Source organism: Homo sapiens, chromosome 15, assembly GCF_000001405.40.
Source record: "Homo sapiens chromosome 15, GRCh38.p14 Primary Assembly".
Taxonomy (NCBI): Eukaryota; Metazoa; Chordata; class Mammalia; order Primates; family Hominidae; genus Homo; species Homo sapiens.
In genome coordinates this window covers 98,508,855-98,532,024 of record NC_000015.10, presented here as the reverse complement: position 1 = coordinate 98,532,024, position 23,170 = coordinate 98,508,855, and the positions used below count along the sequence as shown (strand labels likewise).

The following is a 23,170-nucleotide window of genomic DNA, read 5'->3' as shown; positions in this document are numbered from 1 at the left end:
ATATTCAGTGTTTTTAACATTTTATGTTTTATTTATTTAGTTAGTTCTTTTGTTTTTTTGAGACAGAGTCTCACTCTGTTGCCAGGCTGGAGTGTGGTGGTGTGATCTTGGCTCACTGCAACCTCCACCTTCCAGGTTCAAGCAATTCTCCTGCCTTACCCTCCCGAGTAGCTAGGACTACAGGCACGTGCCACCACACCTGGCTAGTTTTTTGTATTTTCAGTAGAGATGGGGTTTTACCATGTTAGCCAGGATGGTCTCGATCTCCTGACCTCGTGATCCGCCCGCCTCGGCCTCCCAAAGTGCTGGGATTACAGGCATGACCACTGCACCTGGCCTATTTTATTTTATATTTTGAGATGGAGTTTTGCTCTTGTTGCCCAGGCTGGAGTGCAATGACACGATCTCGGCTCACTGCAACCTCCGCCTCCTGGGTTCAAGTGATTCTCCTGCCTCAGCCTCCTAAGTAGCTGGGATTACAGGCACTCGCTACCATGCCCAGCTAATTATTTGTATTTTTAGTAGAGACGGGATGTCACCATGTTGGCCAGGCTGGTCTCGAACTCCTGACCTCAGGTGATCCACCCGCCTTGGCCTCCCAAAGTGCTGGGATTACAGTCATGAGCCACTGTGCCCAGCCAACATTTTACTTATTGTGTTAAAATATACATAACATAAAATTTACCATCTTAGCCATTTTTAACTGGCATTAAGTAAATTCACATTGTTTTGCAAGCTTCATCACCATCTATCTCCAGGATTTTTTTAATCATCCCAAACAGAAACTCTGCAAACATTAAACATTAAAAGCTCCCCAGTCTTCCTTCCCCGAAACCCCTGTTAACTTCTATTTGCCGTCTCTATGAATTTGCCTATTTTAGGTACCTCATATAAGTGGAATCATTCAGCACGTGTCCTTTCGTAACTGGCTTATTTCACTTAGCGTAATGTCCTCAAAGTTCATCCATGTTGTAACATGCGTCAGAATTTCCTTCCTTTTTAGGTCTGAATAATATTCCATTGTATGTGTATACCATGTTCTGTTTATCCACTCACCCATCAATGGACACTTGAGTTGCTTCTATCTTTGGGCTATGGTGAATAATGCTGCTATGAAAGTGGGTGTGCAAATTAGTTCAGTGGTATTTTCAACAGTGTGATGCTGAGCCCTGGCTGCCGTTTGCACAGTGTGTGGGTAGAACAATAGAAATTGGTAAGTAGGTGAGTCAGGGAAGGCTCTGCTAGAAATCTCAAGACCTGGGTTTGAGCCCCAGCCTCATTACTAATAACTTCTTGTTTTTGAGCTTCTGTTTCCACACCTGAAAAATGGGGTTAGGGCTTCGTGCTTCATTGCTTTCACAGGGTTGATGTAAGTTTCACACAAGAGAGGAAATGTGAAAGCCCTTGGTAAACTGGAAAACTCTATGCAAATGTCAGGTTTAAAAGATCACTTTTTTTTTTTTTTTTTTGGGAGACGGAGTCTCGCTCTGTGATCTTAGCTCACTGCAACCTCCACCTCCCGGGTTCAAGTGATTCTCCTAACTCAGCCTCCCGAGTAGCTGGGACTATAGGTGCCTGCCACCATGCCCAGCTAATTTTTGTATTTTTAGTAGAGACGGGAGTTTCACCATGTTGGCCAGGATGGTCTTGATCTCCTGACCTCGTGATCTGCCTGCCTTGGCCTCCCAAAGTGCTGAGATTACAGATGTAAAAGAGTACATTTTAATATAGCCTATCACCATATTTTGTAATACCATACATTTTCTCCCAGTAAGTACTTCGGAAATATTGTTTATTTGCGGAAGGCAGAATGTTACATTCCTTTACTATTTCTTCAATTTAAAACTGAATTGGCACCAATATTGCAACCTTGATACAAATATTAGTATTCTGCATGTATTTCCTCATTTACTTTTCAGTTTTACACAAATGAGTTCAGTGCCCTTGTAAAAATATAGTCATCTTAATACATTTTCAATTATTTGGAAGTGACTGCATTTTCCCTGGTAAATCATTGTCTAAGTTCAAGATAAACACGTTCAACACCATACGTTTTTCGAGTGCAGCATATGTGGAGTCTAAGTACTTAGACAGTGTGCACCAGCTTAACCCAGAACTAGGCTGTGCAGACGAGGACCAATGTGCTTTCAAGTCTCCTCATCACTTGCACAGAACGAGGCATGCCAAATACAAAAACATTTTTTTTCCTTTTCAGAGGTTTTATTGTTTGAAATGTAATAGATGAACATGTAAGGATGTGATCTTTGGACGACAGTTTATAAAGCCCATTAATAGACACAATTTGGGGGTAAGTTCTGAGAAATGTTATTCTGTGACTAATGGGTAAACGCATTATGGTGACGAGGGGTTATTTTTCTTCTCATGTGTGCTGTGTGGTTTCGGGCTCCGGATCCGTGCTGGACAGTTGTTCCACCACAGCATTTTCCCACCAGCTTTGGGACCGCCGCATGGTGTTGTGGTATTACTGACACTGGGACTTGGTATTTTTACAAGTTCTTGGTCAATTAAATTCAGGATACGAAGAGTCGGGCTTTCCGTGTTTTCCTGTGCACGTGCCAAAGCCCTCTTCCTTCCTGGTAAAGGTTAGACAAATAGGGCAACATCATCATGACCACAGGGATGGGGTGGCTCATGGTCAGTGGTGAGGGAAGCCTGAGCTTCCTGCACGGGGTCAAGGTCAGGACCTGTCTTTGGTTACCATTCAAAAGGAAGCAGATATTTGAGGCGTTATATCCTCCTGTCTGTCCCAAATGTAGAGACCCACTGGTCCCCAGAGGTGACACCTCTTTGAATGCAAAAGGAACAGTATGTTTTAGTCCCACCTCATCTCCTTTTGATTGATTCAAAGGGAAAAAATAGTTTTATCTTGTAAAAAATAGTTTTACTTTGCCTAAAAGTAAGAGGTACCAATGCTCAGATTACAAGAGCTTCTTATTAAAAGCAATCGGGATTATATAAACCTTTGTGTGGGTGGCAAAGAAAGGCATCTGCATATTTTACCTTCTTAGATTTGGGAAAAGTGATTTATTCTCAGTCAAGGCAATGACAAGTTGCAAGTTGTCCAATACTAAATACCTGATAACAGATCAACAGGCTGCCTGTCAATTACTGGGTAATAGAACCTTCGCCACCACCACCTGCAGACCTCCAGCAGCGCCTCCTCCTTCCCTGACAATTTTGCTCATCTGCTCAAGAAATTCTAACATATTCTACATTCTGTCTTCCAACTTAAAAAAAAATTCTTTGCTAAGAATATTTTGGCAATCAGATGCTCTTCAAAAAACAACAAAAATATCCAAGTGTTTATTTGCCTTACCTTCTGTTCTCTCCTCCTCTGGGTAGAGGGATGTGCTGCTGTCACCATGGCTCTTTCAAATGGCCATGAGTTCTTACACTCTGACCTTGAACTCCGGGTGCTTCCCTGTTTGCCTTCTGTCTGACAGTGATGGGTCCTCCCACTGTGACATCATTCCAAAGCACTCTTCTCCAAGGTGGTTTTGTTACCTGTCAACGTTCTGGGACAAAGCGTCTCTAGTTAAGTACATTTGGGAAATAAATGCTGAGTTAAGCAAACTCTGTTGTTGCAGGATTTCCAAAAGTCCTCGATTTCTGATAGGCGCAGCATGCCACCCTTTTCTAATCTTGCTGACTTCAGAAACCCCCTTTCATGAGGATATCTGAAGCATAGCTTGTGCAGCTAGCGTTCCGAAGATGCGCTTGGGAAAGGGCCAGCATGATACCAGGGAGGCTGTGGTGATGACTGCACAAAACCTCAGATTCTTTGATATTAAATAAATGCCAGGCACTGCCTTGCACAACTGTGGGCATTCCTTACTGAATCCAACAGCCCTCCTTAAAAAAAAAAGTTAAACATAAGCATACTTTAAGTTAAAAGTAGCTCTGAGTTTTAAAACATCATGTGGTGAGGTTTGGAGGCTCAGAAGGAAGTTTGCATTTGTGAGTATTGAGTTTTCTTAAGGCATACAACTTAAGAACACGCAGCTCTGGGGACTGGACTGTGCTGTGAAGCACATACCTTCCTAGAAATCAGGACCCCTGCTACATTTCTGGTTCTGGATTCTGAGCTGCTGAGGTGGCATTTGGAACTCTTCTCCCTTTGGATGCTTCACCGCTACCGCGGGTGTGCAGAACACCTGGGTTCAGACCCCTGCAGAGCTCTTGCCACAAGCTTCCTATATTTTCTGATGTTGTCCTCTTTCTGATTAGAAACTAGTTTTCATGCTCTCTGCTGAGCCCAAAATTAGTCATTTAACACCCCCCCCCCACTTCTGGCAGATTTCTTATTTAATAAGGATTTCTTCTATAATAAATTCCTTTTACAAGAAAATTGATTTGTGAAGAAAGAAACAGGCCACCTATGTGACAAAATAAAGAAAAACAAAAATAAAAAAAGGTTTTCTATAAGCAGTATCTATTCCTAACTATTGTTTAAAAATAGGACTTGAGGCCGGGCGCAGTGGCTCATGCCTGTAATCCCAGCACCTTAGGAGGCCGAGGTAGGTGGATCAGCTGAGGTCAGGAGTTCAAGACCAGCCTGCACAACATGGTGAAACACTGTCTCTACTAAAAATACAAAAAAATCAGCTGGGCATGGTGGCGGGCACCTGGAATCCCAGCTACTCAGGAGGCTGAGGCAGGAGAATCGCTTGAACTGGGGAGGTGGAGGTTGCAGTGAGCCGAGATTGCACCACTGCCCTCCAGCCTGGGTGACAAGAGTGAAACTCCGTCTCAAAAAAAAAAAAGTATATATATATCAAAAAAAAGTATATATATCAAAAAAAGTATATATATATGTGTATATATATGTGTGTGTATATATATGTGTATATATATGTGTATATATATATGTGTATATATATGTGTATATATATATGTGTATATATATGTGTATATATATATGTATACATATAATATGTATATATATGTGTATATATATATGTGTATATATATGTGTGTGTATATATATATGACTTGATGGCCAGCTGCAATGGCTCACACCTGTAAGCCCAGCCACCACTTTAGGAGGTCAAGGTAGAAGGATCGCTTGAGCCCAGGAGTTTGAGACCAGCCTGTAGTGAGACCTTGTCTCCACAAAAAAAATTAAAAAATGAGGCAGGAGGATTGTTTGAGCCTGGGAGGTGGAGGCTGCAATGAGCCGCGATTGCACCACCGCACTCTGGCCTGGACAACAGAGTGAGACCTTGCCTCAAAAAAACAAGAAAACTAAACAAAAAGACTTGAATACTACTTCATAATTTTGTGTCCTTAAAAATGTGTTCACATTATCCAGAGCAAGAATTGTTCGTACTGTAGTTGAAGAATGACAGCCCACGTTACTAAAAAAAATCAAGTGATTTCAGCCAGCTTTTCCCATGACATACTGCCTCATAGTTGCTGCCAGGTAGTGGCTTTCGGCAAAGTCCAAGTTTCTAAGAGTGAGGCTAGTAAAATGTAAAATGTCTTCGGTAATGTTTCTTAAAATAATGGGCCCATATGATACAAATTACATTTGTTAAACTGAAAAGATTTTGCTAACCTTTGTGGTAAGGTAGTCTTTGAAGAGAATATTTTGCTAGTGATACTAAATCAATGATTAATTGCAAAACATTGATCCCGTTCAAGGTCTTCATTAGTTGACCTTGCAGTTTACATAGGAAGGACCAAAAGGTGCTAGGAAGGGCCTTGGACATTAGGCCTTGCTGGACTGATCAGCAGTGGCTGACCCAGCCGCGGTCGTGGCTGATGGGACAGGCAGTGACCGAGGGAGTGGATCTATTGCTGCAGCCCTGGGAACCCAAGCTTTGATACGAAGATTCTGAATGATTTAAGCATTTTCCCTAAAGGACACCTTAAGACGTACCATTATGTTTGTTTTTAAGGTAACTACGTCAACATATGCTTAAAGGGAATTCTTCAATTTGGGGTTTGCTGGGGGTTTCAGTTTCTTTACAGTCTGCAGTGAATTATCGTTTTAACTGTGTGCCTTTTTCATAAAAGCATTTTACATTGTACTGAAAAGATTGCATTCTTTTGGCTTTGGAAAAATATTTCCTGTTCAGTTCAAGCCATTACAGCCTGTTAGCGTTTCACATCTGGAAGCCTGTGCCTCCCGTCACCAGCGAAGCGAGTGTGGCGGCCTGGCTGGGCCCCCAGCGCCTGCGTAAAGCGCCGGGACTTGTTTACTTCCCAAAGCTCAGCCTTGCGGGTTTTCGGGGAGTGAGGGGGTTCTGAGCGGGGGAGAGGCGCTTCCTTGCTCCCAGGGCAGGGGTGTGTGTGTGGGTGTGTGTGTGTGTGTTCATTGTGTGTGTGTGTGTTCATTGTGTGTGTGTGTGTGTTCATTCTTCCTGGGATGGAGATGGAGGGGTCTTCCTCTTGGGTAATGAGGGAGGTTTCTTTCTCCTGGGGGTGGGGAGGGGAATCTTTCTTCCTAGTGAGTGTTGCATCCCCCCTCCCCTCATGCCTTAAGCAGCTATTTTTCACTCCCACCCAGTTTTCCAGAAAGCCAACCCAAACATTCTCCGTGTGAGAGGGAAGTATCCCTCAGGGAAGAGAACAAATTTGAACAAAAAACGCTGGGCAGCCTGCGGCCTTGGTGTGGGTTGGAGCTGCAGGCCTCAGTCTGGCATCCCTTGTCACCAGTCACCCAGGCTGGGTTGAGGGACGGCCCAGGAGAGGTGGCCCTGGTGCCTGCTCTGTGGCTCTTCTTCCTGGGGAAACAGGGGACTGCGTCCTGCTTTCAATCTTTAAAAGGGAACCAAGCCTCTGGGTGCCACGTTACTTTATGAGCATTAAGCTCTCCCCCAGTTTGCTGTGGTCTGAGAGGGTTAATTTTTGTGGCCTCTGGGACCCTGCTCTCCGGAGGTGAGCCTGATGCTGCCCCCACTCTCGGGATCATTGAGCTGGGCTGTGTCTGCTGATCCTGGTGGCTTCAGTGCTGAGAACACTCCCCCAGGGACCTGTCCCTGTGGCCTCTTGGGTGGCCAGGCACTAGAGCTCTGGGGCAGTGGTGCCCTGGGACAGAGTCCACTGAGTTCTTTGAGGGAGTGTGACAGCCCCCACAGCATAACCTGTAGGGGAAACGATTTCATGGTGTGGAAGGAGCAAAACATTCACTGCATTTCTCCTGATCACACGTGACCAGAAATGATGCCAAGCAAGTCTAGGCTTCCTGCAAGAATCAGGCAGGACCCTGAGCACCCAGGCCTCAGACCTGACGGCCTTGGGTGAGGTGCCCCCCTCCCTGCAAATCCAAATGATCACAGTGTCTTAGCACTCCGCTGGCAGGAGGTCAATTCACAAAGGGCCAAGGTCAGCATCTTCTTGGGGCTGGTCAATCAATGCTCTTCCGTTGAACTTGCAACCTTGCTGTAGGAGACGGGTGGTCCAGATCTGACAAACATCTTTCCCAGAACACAGGGCCAGCGACAGAAAGTAAAAATCAAGATCAGATCTGTCCCTGCCCCTTAACACTGGAGTTCCTGGGTGTGTTTTGAGAAAGGTCGCTATTGAAGTTGGTTTCCATGGGAGGAGCATGCAGCATGCGTGCAGGCCCCAGGGTGGAAGCAGCCCTCTCTCCAGTTTGTTTTTCTTAATTTCTTTGAACGTTCAGTGAATCTTTTTTCAGACTTGTGGGAAGCCACTTGCCCAGTGAGTTGAAATGAATAGCAGTTTCAACAGAGAGCTTAGTTGAACAACCACCCAAATGGACTGAATGCTTTGTATGGGAAAAGCACGGGAAGGGGTCTTCATGGTGGGCTGGGGAGGGGAGGGAAGCTGTGTTGTACTCGGCATGCCCCAGCTCCTCTCGTTGTTGTGAGTTGGGGAGTGACTGCTCTGAGACAGAGTTGAGCTGTGAGTTAGGGAGTCCGGCAAGACAGAGGATGTGGCCCACATGTGCTCATCCTATCCTGGGCTGAACACAGGACTCAGTGTCCCCCAGAGTCCTTGCCCTTGTGTTTTAGGGCTCCAGGAGAGAGCTGGCTGCATTTGAGATGGGCCTTGAGGATGGACAGGCAGAGAGAGCTCTGCAGCGGAGGGCATAGGGCACCCTGGGTACGGCAGAGGAGGGACCTGGGATTTTTTTTTTTTTTTTTGAGACAGTTTCACTCTTGTCGCCCGGGCTAGAGTGCAGTGGTGCAATCTCAACTCACTGCACCCTCTGCCTCCCGGGCTCAAGCGATTCTCCTGCCTCGGCCTCCTGAGTAGCTGGGACTACAGGCGCCTGGCACCACGCCAAGCTACTTTTTGTATTTTTAGTAGAGATGAGGTTTCACCATGTTGCTCAGGCTGGTCTCGAACTCCGGACCTCAGGTGATCCACGCACCTCGGCTTCCCAAAGTGCTGTGATTACAGGCGTGAATCACTACACCTGGCCTGACCTGGGACTTTTAAATGGCATTTGAGCTTGGTAAAGGGGACTGTTTTGATCCGGTCAGTAGCACCAGCTGAATGTTTTACACAGGTTTTGAAATCAGATAGACCTGGGCTCATGCCCCAGTGCTGCCCCTTACTGGCCAAGCGTTATCCTCTAGAGGCCTCAGTTTCCTCTTCTGTGAATGCGTTAAGCAGGATTCAGTGAGGTCACGGCTGTGGAGTGCTCAGCATCGTGTTGGCAACTGGAGCCGAAAGCACATCAGCTGCTGCTGTTATTTTAATTGGTGATGGAGGGAGGGCGGATGGACGGATGGAGCAGATAGTTGTTACAAGATGCCGAGGGCCCGGCCCGGTGTCTCAAGCTCGTAATCCCGGCACTTTGGGAGGCTGAAGTGGGTGGAATGCTTGAGTCCAAGAGTTTGAGACCAGCCTGGCCAACATGGCAAAACCCCATCTCTAAAAAAAAAAAAAAAAAATCACCACCACCACCAGATATTATCTGATCATAGTGGCTTGCACCTGTGGTCCCAGCTACCTGGGGGGCTGAGGAGGGAGGGGACCTTGAGCCTGAGAGATTGAGGCTACGGTGAGCTGAAATCGTACCACTGCACTCCAGCCTGGGTGACAGAGTGAGACCCTGTCTTAAAAAAAAGAAAAAGAAAAGATGCTGTGGCCCTGGGCTAAGGGATGCATGTCAGGACAATGGGAGAGAGAAAAAAAAGAAAAAGAAAAGATGCTGTGGCCCTGAGCTAAGGGATGAATGTCAGGACGATGGGAGAGAGAAAAAAAAGAAAAAGAAAAGATGCTGTGGCCCTGAGCTAAGGGACGCACGTCAGGACGATGGGAGAGAGAAAAAAAAGAAAAAGAAAAGATGCTGTGGCCCTGAGCTAAGGGATGAATGTCAGGACGATGGGAGAGAGAAAAAAAAGAAAAAGAAAAGATGCTGTGGCCCTGAGCTAAGGGACGCACGTCAGGACGATGGGAGAGAGAAAAAAAAGAAAAAGAAAAGATGCTGTGGCCCTGAGCTAAGGGATGAATGTCAGGACGATGGGAGAGAGAAAAAAAAGAAAAAGAAAAGATGCTGCAGCCCTGAGCTAAGGGATGCACATCAGGACGATGGGAGAGAGGTGGTGTCAGGACGATGGGAGAGAGGGGGTGCAGGCTCAGCTTGGTGTTTATGGCAGATCTGAATGGTCCCTGAGGAAGGAACTGGGGTGCCATCGCGGATCCATTTGGCTCCTAAGCTGTGCACCTGGAGGGCCCAGTAAGGCGTAGGGAAGGCTTGTAGGTTCAGGCCAGGGGGCTGAAAGAATGTGTTTACTCAGCTGTTTATTTACCACTCTGTATGCCCATGACATTTTCACCCTGGAAGGTGGGGGACAAGGAGGTGAGGCTTCTGCAGAGGCTGAGTTCTGGCCCACTGAAGCTGTTGACATCCTCCCAAAGTTAGGAGCCTTTCCCTCCAGGAGCTATTCCCAGCAGTGAAATTCTTCCTAGGCAAACTTGGTGGACTGAAGACTTGACACTTTTTGCCACTTATTGCAGTCTTTGATTCCAGAATAGTGATTGGCAGGGGGAATGGTGCTTCCGAAACAAGCAGGGGAAGCTGCTGTTCCACAAGGGGCACCAAGTAGGTGTTTACGTCCAGGCTTATCTTGGGGGGGCGGGGGTGAGGAGGAGGAGGAGGAGGAGGCAGTTGCTGTGGCAGCCTCCTTCCCCTATGGGATGCTCAGAGGTGAATTGGAGGCTGAGGTGGGGTCCACAGATTGGGGATACAGCCCCCTCCCCACTTGGGGACATGCCAGCCAGAATCTTTGGTCTCTGCAGAGTGGGAAACAGACTGCTGCTTCTCAGCTGAAGTTGGATGCTATCTATTTGTTTTAGCTGGCTGGGTGTGGTGGCTCATGCCTGTAATCCCAGCACTTTGGGAGGCTGAGGCAGGTGGATCACTTGAGGTCAGGAGTTCAAGACCAGCCTGGCCAACATGGTTAAACCCTGGCTCTACTAAAAATACAAAAACTAACCAGGCATGGTGGTGCGTGTCTGTCGTCCCAGCTACTTGGGAGGCTACGGGACAAGAATTGCTTGAAACCCGGAGGCCGAGGTTGCAGTGAGCCAAGATCGCACCACTGTACTCCAGCCTGGGCGACAGAATGAGACCTGTCACACACACAAAACCATCATCTGAGTATTCAAGGATATAATTTACCTTCAAAAGTAAGGTGAGAGGAAAGAGCTGCAGAGGAAGAGTTGACGAATAACCAGCACATTAATATGTACGATAGCCCGTCTGTGTGTGGACATGTAGTTTTATAATTCATACTAGCAGTGTTCTTACAGAGTCTTACAAAGACTAGCCCAATTAAAGCAGAAGAATTGGCATAATCTTATGAACCTGCACGGCCAATGTAAGCTAGCAAAATAATAACTCAAGCTGGATTTTGACCAAGTCATCAAGTTCTATCCCGTTAGTCTCATGCTCAGGGTACCAGCATGTCTGCATGGTCTCTAGGCTGACTCTACAGCCATCTTAAGAGGGCTCACGCTTCATCTCCTTGGGGTTGGGGCCAACCCTGCCATCAGGAATGTTTTCTATTTTCTTTGGTACCCTCTGCTGGGCTGCTTTTTGTTTGTTTGTTTGTTTTAATTTTTAAAAAAAATAGGTGAGCCAGGCAAGGTGCAATGTGCCTATAGTCCCAGCTACTTCAGAGGATGACTTGAGCCCAGGAGTTCAAGTCCAGCCTGGGCAACATAGCCAGACCCTGTCTCTAAAAAAAAGAAAAAAAAATAGGTGAACATAATTTTTAGAGCAAGTGTTCACTTTTTTTTTTTTTTTTTTGGGGACGAAGTCTCGCTCTGTTGCCCAGTCTGGAGTGCAGTGGCGCAATCTCGGCTCACTGCAAGCTCCGCCTCCCGGGTTCACACCATTCTCCTGCCTCAGCCTCCTGAGTAGCTGGGACTACAGGCACCCGCCACAAAGCCCGGCTAATTTTTTGTATATTTTTTAGTAGAGACGGGGTTTCACCATGTTAGCCAGGATGGTCTCGATCTCCGGACCTCGTGATCCTCCCGCCTCCACCTCCCAGTGTGCTGGGATTACAGGCGTGAGCCACTGTGCCTGGCCCAAGTGTTCACTTTTTAAAAAACTCCTCAAGGAATAAGTGACTTTCCTTTCACAAAAGAGTAAAACTAATGTCCTTTCTTGCCTCTTTCACCCCAGCAGGCATGTATCCAGTAGATGTGTTGGAAGATGATCCTGACGCACAACAGGAAGCAGCTCTGGCTTACCATGCCTCACTTAGGGAAGGAGCTGGGGCCCCAGCTGAGGTTTTCTGTCTTCCCACTGGGGAGAAGGTATACGTGATCTTCCTTGGCGAAGAGCTCTGTAAAATCTAATTTACAGAGTAGAATGTTATTGAAAGAATATAATAGATTAAAAAAAAAACCATTCTGGAGTGAGTATTAGAATAAGTGCACCCTCAGAGGCAGAATGAATCCTGCATTGGGATTCTGGAGTCCAGAGTGTCCGTCCAGAGTTGCCAGGCAGTGAGCCAGAAAGCCTGTATGAATGTCTACCACTAACTTACTAGCTGTGTGACCTTGAGCAAGTGTCTTAACCTCTCTGGTCTCGGTATTGTCATCTCTAGACTGGGGACAATAACAGCACATATCTTATAGTGTTGTTATGAGAATTAAGTGAGATACTGTGTGCTATGCCCAGCTACCTCGGTTTCCCCATTTGTAAATGAGGGGATTGGTTGGTCTTCAATCTCCGAGGTTTGATTCAGTTCCAAAACTTTGTGATGTGGAATGAAGTTATATCAATTTTGATTTTTGGCACTGATGCAATTCTATGCATTTTGAGTAGGGACTGAAAAGTAACAGAGAGAAATGAAAACCATTTGTTAGGACAGTAGGATTGTGGGTGAAATATTAAAATTGTGTTACTTTTAAGATCTTTATTTCCCTCCCTGCAGTAAGTAAAAAGAATATGTAAGTTTTAGTCAATACCTATGTCAGCTACCTTTCTTTCAGATTTGAGTCTGATCTGTTGAAAGAGACAAAGTTTTCTTGTTTTATACGGATACAATTTCACTCACAGCAGGTATTGTTATCTGGTGGGCAAAGTTGGTTGAGAAAGACAGGGTTTTATTTCTCTGCACTGAAGTTGTTCCTGAGTTAATGAAAACAATGACTTGTACAGTTTATTGTGTGGCTTCCTTGAGATTTTGGAGATGCTAGCTCGCAGTCATTCCCTGAAGAATCCAGCGCTCATCTGTGATCAAAACCCTCCACGTTTTTGATCTGCAGATGGAGGTCGCTTTCCTCACACGCTTCTAGCGCCCCCTAGTGGCTATTAAGCCAAAAAGACTTTTAAAAGCTCGGTCAAGGCTAGCGGCTGTCTTAGCGAGCCAGCGTGGTGAGGGGCAGAGTTGCATGGAGTGTGGGGGTGCTAGGTCATCTCGGAAGTGGGGAGAATTACAAGAGTTAGCCCTGAAGTACTTTAGGATGGAGTTTCAATCATCTGCATGTATTTCACACATATTTATGGATTACATTACTTTCACCCCGCCCCAATATGTAGAATACTCAGTGAGTGAAGAATTTTAGTGTTATTAGTGACAGCATAAGACAGCTACTAAAATTAAGTTGTTTTAATGTGATAGGAATGCGAAATGACTTTATACCTATTTCCTTTTTCCCTTTCTAAAAAAAGGAAGTTTTGGCTGGGTGCGGCGGCTCACGCCTGTAATCCCAGCATTTTGGGAGGCAGAGGCGGGCGGATCACCTGAGGCCAGGAGTTCGAGACCAGCCTGGCCAACATGGTGAAACCCCATCTTTACTAAAAATTAAAAAAAAAAAAAATTTAGCCGGGTGTGGTGGTGGGTGCCTGTAATGCCAGCTACTTTGGAGGCTGAGGCAGGAGAATTGCTGGAACCCAGGAGGCGGAGGCTGCAGTGAGCCGAGATCACACCACTGCACTCCAGTCTGGGCAACAAGAGTGAAACTCTGTCTCAAAAAAAAAAAGAAAAAGAAAGTTTCATGAAAACAATCATTTGATTTCCTACTATTTTACTATTTTTGTAGTTAATAAGAAATGGGAGGCCGGGCGCGGTGGCTCACACCTGTAATCCCAGCACTTTAGGAGGCTGAGGCGGGTGGATCACGAGGTCAGGAGATCCAGACCATCCTGGCCAACATGGTGAAACCCCGGCTCTACTAAAAATACAAAACATTAGCTGGGTGTGGTGGCATGTGCCTGTAATCCCAGCTACTCAGGAGGCTGAGGCAGGGGAATCGCTTGAACATGGGAGGTGGAGATTGCCATGAGCTGAGATCTCGCCACTGCGCTCCAGCCTGGGCGACAGACAGAGACTCTATCTCAAAAAAAAAAAAAAAAAAAAGAAAGAAAGAAAGAAATGGGAGCCGTCTCCTGCCACTCGGGATGTTGAAATAGTCTAATTTGGAGTAATATTGGACCTCCTCATTGCTTAAAGAAGAAAAGAAGGTTTAACTTTTCTTTTTGAATGCAGAGAAGTTTTTCGAAACAAAAAGAAAGATAAGGAAGTGGTTTGAACATACATCATGTCATTTCACTTTGGTCCTCCTAAAAATATTTCCTTTTGATAATTAACTCTTTTCCAGTCTTGAAATTGTCCTATCACATTTAAGATACAATAATATTAATACTTATCAATTTTTCTAGTACATGCTCGTCGTTTAATATTTAGGAACTGTTACAAAGGATGGAGAAAATAAAATCATCCATAGTTAACTGCTGTGAGCATTTTGATGTGTTTGCTTTTGACTTTTGTATTTTTGCATTTCTTAAAACATGGGTGATGGGAGGCGGAGCCTGCAGTGAGCCAAGATAGCACCATTGCACTCCAGCCTGGGCGACAGAGTGAGACTCCCTCTCAAAAAAAAAAAAAAAAACATGGGTGAGATTACTCTCTGAATATAATGTGGTTTATAACAAGCACCTTTTCCTTTTCCTTTTCCTTTTCCTTTTTCTTTCTTTTTTTTTTTTTTGAGGCAGGGTCTCTCTCTGTTGCCCAGCCTGGAGTAAAGTGGTGTGATCACAGCCCACTGCAGCCTCTACCTCTCAGGCTCAAGCGATCCTCCCACCTCAGCCTCCCAAGTAGCTGGTACTACAGGCATGTGCCACCACGCCCAGCTAATATTTTATTATCTGTAAAGATGGGGTCTCACTATGTTGCCCAAGTTGCTTTCAAAGCCTTGGGCTCAAGTGATCACTGAGGTCTCCCAAAGTGCTGGGATTACAGGCATGAACCACTGTACTCAACTGTCTTTCTGTGTTGATCCAGTGCTTTGTAAATTTTGGGCTTAATGGCCCGTAACAGCTGGCTTGTGGATGAACCATGTTGCACACCACCTTTCGGGAGGGCCAGCTTGGGGACTCTTCATTAAAGTGACGCCAAAGACCAAGACATTTATAGGTTGCAAGATTTGTTAAGAAATCATTCTCTAAAACTGTGGAGGCCTGCTGTCAACTTATTTGAAACAAAGTTTTGCTCTTGTCACCCAGGCTGGAGTTCAGTGGCACTATCTCGGCTCACTGCAACCTCCGCCTCCCAGGTTCAAGCGATTCCTCTGCCTCAGCCTCCCGAGCAGCTGGGATTACAGGCGCTGGCCACCATGCCCGGCTAATTTTTTTTTTTTTTTTTTTTTTTGTATTTTCAGTAGAGTCGGGATTTTGCCTTGTTGGGCAGCCTGGTCTTGAACTGCTGACCTCAGGTGATCCACCCGCCTCGGCCTCCCAAAGTGTTGGGATTACAGGCGTGAGCCACTGCGCCTGGCCGCTATCAACTTTTAACAAGCAACCTGGCTGCCCAGCTCAGCCAATGTGTTCTTTTGTAATTTTCTTATACCTTTCTTGGTTTTCAAAACAGACTTGGTACCAGAGCACATTGACCTTTTTCATTTGATGACCACAAAGAGGGCTTTGGATGTGGGCACTTCAGAGAAGTCTCTGGGACAATCTCAGTATTAGAGACACTGGTTTCTGTCTCATATAACAAACAAGTGCTCAGAGTTGAGCTTCTCTGTCCCAGGGCTGACAGGGAGCCTAGACTGGGCCTGTAGGGCCCAGAGAACGTGTGCATTTCTTTTTCTTTCTTTCTTTTTTTTTTTTTTGAGACAGAGTCTCACCCTGTTGCCCAGACTTGAGGTGCAGCATCACGATCTTGGCTCACCGTAACCTCCACCTTCTGGTCTCAAGCGATTCTCCTGCCTTAGCCTCCCAAGTAGCTGGGATTACAGGCATGTGGCACAACCGCCTGGCTAATTTTTGTGTTTGTAGTAGAGATGGGGTTTCACTATGTTGACCAACCTGGTCTTGAACTCCTGACCTCAAATGATCCAACTGCCTTGACTCCTGAAGTCCTGGGATTACAGGCGTGAGCCACCGCGCGCCCAGCCTTTTTTTTTTTTTTTTTTTTTTTTTGACATAGTCTTGCTCTGTCACCCAGGCTGGAGTGCAATGGTGTGATCTCAGCTCACTGCAACCTCTGCCTCCCAGGCCCAAGCGACTCTCCTGCCTCAGCCTCCCGAGTAGCTGGGACTATGGGTGTGCCACTACGCCTGGCTAATTTTTTTTGTATTTTTAGTAGAGATGGGGTTTCACCATGTTGGTCAGGCTGGTCTTGAACTCCTGATCTCAAATGATCCTGACTGCCTTGGCCTCCCAAAGTGCTGGGATTACAGGCGTGAGCCACTCTGCCTGGCTGATCTGATGGTTTTGTAAGGGGTTTCCGCTTTTGGTTGGCTCTCATTCTCTCTTGCCTGCTGCCATATAAGACAGGCCTTTTGCCTTTTACCATGATTGTGAGGCCTCCCAAGCCATGTGGAACTGTGAGTCCATTAAACCTCTTTTTCTTTATAAATTAGTCAGTCTTGGGTATGTCTTTATCAGCAGCATGAAAACGGACTAATGCTATTGGTCCGCCCTCCTTCGATGATGTGGTATCTGGTGAAAGTTTGGGGTTATGGATCTTTTACTATATCTGCAAATGGGGGCCTCCTTCAGCTTCCAGCTTCCTTAGACATAGACCTTTGCCTGTCACCTGCATGTCTGTCTGGGACCTGTACTCAGAGGATGCCCCGCATAGTGCGTGTCACAAAGCCCAAGGTGACATCTTTGGGGCAAGCTATTCTGCACGTCCTCAAGGCCTCTGTGTTTGCTAAACGTGAAACTCAAGTGTGCTTAGCCAGCTGTGTGGGAGTTTTCAGCATGCAGGCAAAGCCTCCTCATTGCTTCAGGGCTGGAGGTGGCTGAGATGTGTGTGAGAGCTTTCTGTCGAGGTTCAGGGTGCTTCCTACCTCTGTCCGGTGGAGCTTTGGCTGTTGTGAACAGGGGACCTATGAGAACCTCAGGCCTTTGATATTGCCTTGGATTTGTGACTCCACCACCAAGTCGCTGAAAGTACCAAGATGTACCCACATGAACCCTTCAGTGCACAGATTGTCAAAAACTCTAAGAATATTGTTTGCCCATTTTAAGAAAATGCTCACATATCAGCTGCCCCACCACCCCCTTTTAGGCATTTAACAATATTCTGGTTATAGGTCTTTAACTACAATTTGCATAATGTAAACATATGACTGACTCTTATAAATCTGTTTCTCATTTGTATTGGACTTAATTTTTTTTGTTGTTTTCAAGAATGTACTATAATAAATATTCATAAGCTCCAAGACATCTCACTATGGACCATTCGTTATATATAATAGCACTTTAAATAACGTTTCAAAATGTTTTCCTACTGCTGTGGGCTCAATTGTGTTGGCTGTGATTTTGCATGGTTTCAAAAAAAGCACTCAGGTGTTCCTGGAGCCCCACGCTCTCGCTCTTTAATCCGGTATTTGGAAGCAGACACGAGTTCTTTCCCAAACACATCGCACATTTCCAGAGCATGTCTTGTGGCTTGAAGCATGTGGACTGTGCAGCAGCCGATGCTATCAGGGACCCTCTTCACAGCTTTGACAAATGTGTCACCTCCCCTCTATGCTTAGCTGTGACCGTGGAGAATGCTATCACTAGTTCCTTTGCCACTTTCTTGGAGAAGTTCTATTTGTGAAGGCCGTGCGTGTTTGTGTGTTTGTGTGTTTAAATGGAAGCTAAAGGAGTCAGAAGCTGTTTGATAAGCCCTGGGTATGAGTTAATTATTGATAAGGTGGTTGAACCCATCACAGTCACTTCCGATAACTCCGCAAGCAAATGAAAAACATCCTGGAATTGTGAATTCCCCTGTGGCAAGTGGTTATCGTTCGTGGTGGCAGTCTGCTGTTACGAGGTAAGTAATGAAGCTTTCCACCTTTCCCCTTTAAGAAACTGTGACTGCACTTTCCATGGAGCAGGGGTGAGAGCAGGTGCCCTTGTCCCCGTGGCTCCTGGCGGGCTCTTTCTGGATGCTTCTCTGGACAGAGGCTGGTTTATATTCTTTGAGGGGACATGGCTGAAGGCTGCCAGGAACCCCCTTTCCTAGGTTGCTCCCGTGCCTTTGCAAGGACTTCAGCTTCCACTTATGTCTCCTTATTTGTTACTTCATTTATTTCCTTTTGTTATTCTCATTTGTTAATTATTAATGGATCTCAAATGTTTATACATATTAAAAAAACTTCTCTCATCAAAAAAGTTGGGGCCTTTTTCTGATCTTCCGTGTAAAATCAAAACCACTCATCCTAGCCTTCAAGATTGACATCAGATGATGACGTTCAGCTTTTCTCATTTCTTCCTGTGTCCTGTGCAGCATAATAGGATGAATATGGACTTTGACGTCAGATGGAGCTGACTTGGAATCCTGGCTCTGCCAGCTGACTGGCAGAGGGGGTAAGTTATTTAACCTCTTTGAGAGTCGGTTTCATCATTTGCAAAATGGAAACAGCTTACCTACTTCACAAGACAGTCGTGAGAATGAAATTATTTATGGCAGGAAATCTGATGCATTGGACCATCCCAGGGCAGAGCCTAGGCATGAAATCTGCAGGACTCCCGGGCTCCTCCAGGAAGTGCACCCTGGCTTGTTCCTCCTCTGTCTTTGCGTGTTGTGCTAGAAAAGTATGGATTTCAGAGTGGGGGGCCTGTTCTGTAGCTTCTGGTGAAAGTTTGGCAGTTGGAATCACCACCCTGGCAGATTCTGCTTGGGGACTTCCCCAGGGACAATCTGAGTCTGTTTTTGAGCTACTGTTCTTGGATTTTTTTTTTTTTTTTTTTGAGATGGAGTCTTGCTCTGTTACACAGGCTGGAGTGCAGTGGCACGATCTCGGCTCACTGCAACCTCCGCCTACTGGGTTCAAGCGATTCTCCTGCCCCAGCCTCCCAAGTACCTGGGATTACAGGCGTGTGCCACCACACCCAGCTAATTTTTAGTAGAGATGGGGTTTCACCGTGTTGGCCAGGCTGGTCTCGAACTTCTGACCTCAAGTGATCCACTCGCCTCAGCCTCCCAAAGTACTGGGATTACAGGCCTGAGCCACTGCGCCCGGCCTCTTCTTGGATTCTTATTAATTGTCAGAAAGTTGTTCCTTATACTGATCCAAACTGCCTCCTTGTATAAATGTCATGCAGTCCATCCAAAAGCCCCGACTGATCAGGGATGGGCTGGAGCGGATGTGTCTCGATGCCCCTTGGGTCAAGAGGCTGTGGCTCTCATCAGGTGAGCCTTAAGGCAGGCGCGATGTGGCACTAATGGAAGGATAGGTCCAGCTCAGTTATAGCTCAGTTTTCTTTGGTGCTGCTCAGGCTGTGACGGAAGCAAACAGCACTTATCCATGGAGAGTAATGGGGATGATGGATGAGAGGACTTGGAACCTTTTGAGCAACGCTTGAAGAAACTAGGGCTATTTCACTTTAGAGAAGGAATGCAGGGGTCTAGAAACTCATGGTTTGAAAGGGTGTTGAGGTCATTAGGTCCAGTGTTTTCCAAGATGATTTTAAGGAGGTGCGGCTGAATTTCAGACGGAGGAAAAGGATAATCTTTTGGGTTTTAATTTTCAATATTTTGAGGAAAACGTTTTTGCTTCCTGCCAATATGCCTTTAGTGCTTGACTAACACTTTTTAATCACCTTTTTTATTTTTGAAAAAAGAGAGTAGGCCTCCCAGCTGAGTACCCTTAGCTAGAATGCTATGTTTTGTCTTTGTAAGGTATTTTTATAATTATAGCAAATGATGCCTCATTTATGGCAGGGCTAATAAGAGGACAGGTGGTGTTCAGATGTGTCAAAATCACACAAGTGTTTTCTGGGAGGCACTGGCCTATGGTCTGGGCCTCTGCACCCCCAGGAGCCTGTTCTATTCTGGGATAGCTCTGATTGTTAGAACATTCTTCATGAGGAGCCCAAACTGATAGGGCCATATGCCTCTCCATTGGCCTTGTGCCTCGCGTGGGGTCATCCAGGTAGGTGGGCATGGCTTCTCCACTCAGGTGTGCTGCATTTTCAAAGTCCTCCCCTCCACCAGATCACACATCTCTCAGTCTCCAATTGCTTCTCCTGGGATACAGGCTGCAGAGCTTGTCGCACCCTGGGTCCCTCTTTCAGGTCTAGGCTTCTTTTAGCACGACGTCAGAACTTGTGTCATGGGTGCCATTGTGGAAGCACCTGGGTTTTGTAGTAAGTTAGTCCTGGGTTCAGATCCTGGCTCTGACCCTTAGGAGCGGGTGGCCCTGGTGAAGTTCCTGAGTGTCTCTGAGCCTTATTTTCCTGCCTTGCGACTCGGTAGCGTGGCCTGTGCCCGGCAGCAAGGCATCACCAAGGAGCTGGTTAGAAATACAGGATCTCAGCCGGGTGCCGAGGCTGACGCCTGTAATCCCAGCACTTTGGGAGGCCGAGGTGGGTGGATCACCTGAGGTCAGGAGTTCAAGACCAGCCTGACCAACATGGTGAAACCCCGACTCTACTAAAAAAATACAAAAATTAGTCAGGCATGGTGGCGGGCGCCTGTAATCCCAGCTACTCAGGAGGCTGAGGCAGGAGAATCGCTTGAACCCAGGAGGCAGAGGTTGCAGTGAGCCAAGATCATGCCACTGCACTCTAGCCTGGGCGACAAGAGAGAGACTCTGTCTCAAAAAAGAAAGGAAAGGGAAAGGGAAAGGGAGGGGAGGGAAGGGGAGGGGAGGGGAGGGGAGGGAAGAAAGAAAGAAATACAGGGTCTCAAGCCCCACCCCAGACCTAGAGTCAGAACTTGGGCTTTAACAAGATCCCCAGGCGATTTGCAGGCACACTGCAGGCTACGAAATGCTTGTCTAGAGAACCGTGAGATTAGAGTGGTGGTTGGGTAAGTGTTCACTCTTCTTGGACTGGACATTTTGCTTCCACAAAGCTAGCCTCAGTTTAACTGGGCATTTCCTGCCCAAGTTTGACTCACCTGACACTTCACTCACCACCTGCGTGCCCGGCCCTGGGCTTTCCACATGAACTTGTTATTAAGACATCACTCTCTTTCAAAGTTTGTGTAGTTGATGTTTCAAACCTAAAGATAGGAACTTATCTTTATTCCACTATATATAAATAACAGCTTTATTGAGATATAATTCATATACCATATAATTCCTCTATTTAAGGTTTACAGTTCATGTTTTTTAGCATACACAGAGTTGTGCATCCATCATACAATCAGTTTCAGAACATTTTCATTACCCCTAAAACAAACCCCACTCCCTTCATCTATCACGATCCTTCTACCCTCCCCAGCCCCAGGCAGCCACTAATCTACTTTCTCTATGGATTTGCCTATTCTGGACATTTCTTATGAATGGAATCATACAATATATGCCCTTTTGTGCCTGACTTCTTTCACATAGCATAATGTGTTCAAGGATCATCCATGTTAGAGCATGTTTCAGTACTTCCTTCATTTTTAGGGCTGAATAATATTCCACTATGCAGATACATCACATTTGTTTATCCATTCATCAGTTGATGGACACTTCGATTATTTCCACTTTTGGACTATGAATAATGCCACTGTGAAAATTTGTGTACAAGTTTTTGCATTGGGGATGTGTTCTCATTTCTCTTGGGAGCCCAGGAGTGGGATGAATTGCTGAATCATACGGTAATTATGTTTAACCTTTTGAGGATCTGTACTGTTTTCCAAAGCCACTGCAACATTTTGTGTTTCCTTCAACAATGTTTGAGGATTCCGATTTTTCTACATCCTTGTCAACACTTATTATTGGCAATAAATCAATAACCATTCTAGTGGGTGTGAAGTGGTGTCCCTGGGTGTGGGTTTGATTTGCATTTCCCCGATGACTAATGATATGAGTATCTTTTCATGTGTTTATTGGCCATTTGTATATCTTCTTTAAAGAACTGTCTATTCTTATTTTTTGCTATTTTAAAATCAGGTTATTTGTCTTTTTAGTATTGAGTTGTGAGATTTAAAATCTAGTCTTTATATATTCTGGATACAAATTCTTTATCAGCTATATGATTTGCAAAATTTTTCTCCCATTCTGTGGGTTGTCTTTTCACTTTGTTGGTGGTATCATTTGAAGCACAAATGTTTTTAATTTTTTAAATTATACTTTAAGTTCTAGGGTACATGTGCACAACATGCAGGTTTGTTACATATGTATACATGTGCCATGTTGGTGTGCTGCACCTGTTAACTCGTCATTTGCATTAGGTATATCTCCTAGTGCTATCCCTCCCCCCTCCCCCCACCCCAGACCCCGGTGTGTGGTGTTCCCCACCCTGTGTCCAAGTGTTCTCATTGTCCAATTCCCACCTATGAGGGGGAGCATGTGGAGTTTGGTTTTCTGTCCTTGTGATAGTTTGCTCAGAATGATGGTTTCCAGCTTCATCCATGTCCCTACAAGGGACATGAACTCATCCCTTTTTATGGCTGCATAGTATTCCCTGGTGTATATGTGCCACATAAATGTTTTTAATTTTTATGATGTCCACTTTATCTATTTTTTTGTTGTTGTGTTTGCTTTTGATGTCACATCTAAGAAACCATTACTTAATCCAAGGTCATGAAGATTTATGCCTGTGTTTTCTGATTATGTTTTTCTTGGGTCTATTATTTCATTGTGTTTAAAGAGTGGGTCCTTCCATCCAGCTATATTAGCTCTTTCTTCTGACTGTATAGCTTGTGTCCTTTGAAGGCATGCATTCATTTTTTTTTTTTTTAAGATAGGATCTCACTCTCTTTTCCAGGCTATGGAGCTTATAGCTTACTGTAATCTTGAGCTCCTAGGCTCAAGCAATCCTCTAGCTTTAGCCTTTTGAGTAACTGGGACTATACATGTGTACACTATCACACCTGGCTAATTAATTTTTTTTTTTTTGTAGAGACAAGGTCTCCCTATATCGCCCAGGTTGATCTTGAACTCCTGGCCTCAAACGATCTTCCCACTTTGGCCTCTCAAAGTGCCAGAACTATAGGCATGAACCACCATGCCCAGCCCTGATGGTGTGCTTTCTTTATTTGTAATCCAAGTACCTAAAAAAATGCTGATCATTATTCATGCAATTATTATACCTTTAAAAACACACTCAACCCATTATTTAGCACACATTGCTGGCTCATCCACAAAAAGATTTCAAGAGACTTTATGAAATGAATGCTTGAAATTTAGAGTGGAGGGAAACCTGGCTGCTGAAACCAAGATGACTTATGTTTAATTGTTCTCCTAACACTAGTCTGGGAACACTCTGAGAAAAGGAGGTGAGGTCAGTTTTGTATCATCTGGTTTTGGGGAATTCATACTGATTTTAAGT

At 45.4% G+C, this 23,170-nt stretch overlaps 1 pseudogene across 1 annotated transcript in view, besides 1 other annotated feature; it reads left to right on the top strand.

Annotated features, from left to right (window-relative positions):
- Positions 1 to 17,688: 17,688 nt before the first annotated feature.
- The window catches only part of FAM169BP (family with sequence similarity 169 member B, pseudogene), a 77,175-nt pseudogene continuing 71,693 nt past the window's right edge, over positions 17,689 to 23,170 (top strand). Inside the window, exons 1-2 of the transcript NR_171054.1 lie at positions 17,689 to 17,732; positions 18,189 to 18,268. The product of NR_171054.1 is annotated as a family with sequence similarity 169 member B, pseudogene (transcript). The remainder of the gene's footprint in view (positions 17,733 to 18,188; positions 18,269 to 23,170) is intronic.
- Positions 18,753 to 18,935: a silencer, noted in NCBI's record as "fragment chr15:99056319-99056501 (GRCh37/hg19 assembly coordinates)". NCBI's record gives its function as "represses an EF-1alpha promoter that drives an FKBP-Casp9 reporter gene in an ReSE screen in HepG2 liver carcinoma cells {active_cell/tissue: HepG2}" and the evidence as "EXISTENCE:reporter gene assay evidence [ECO:0000049][PMID:32094911]".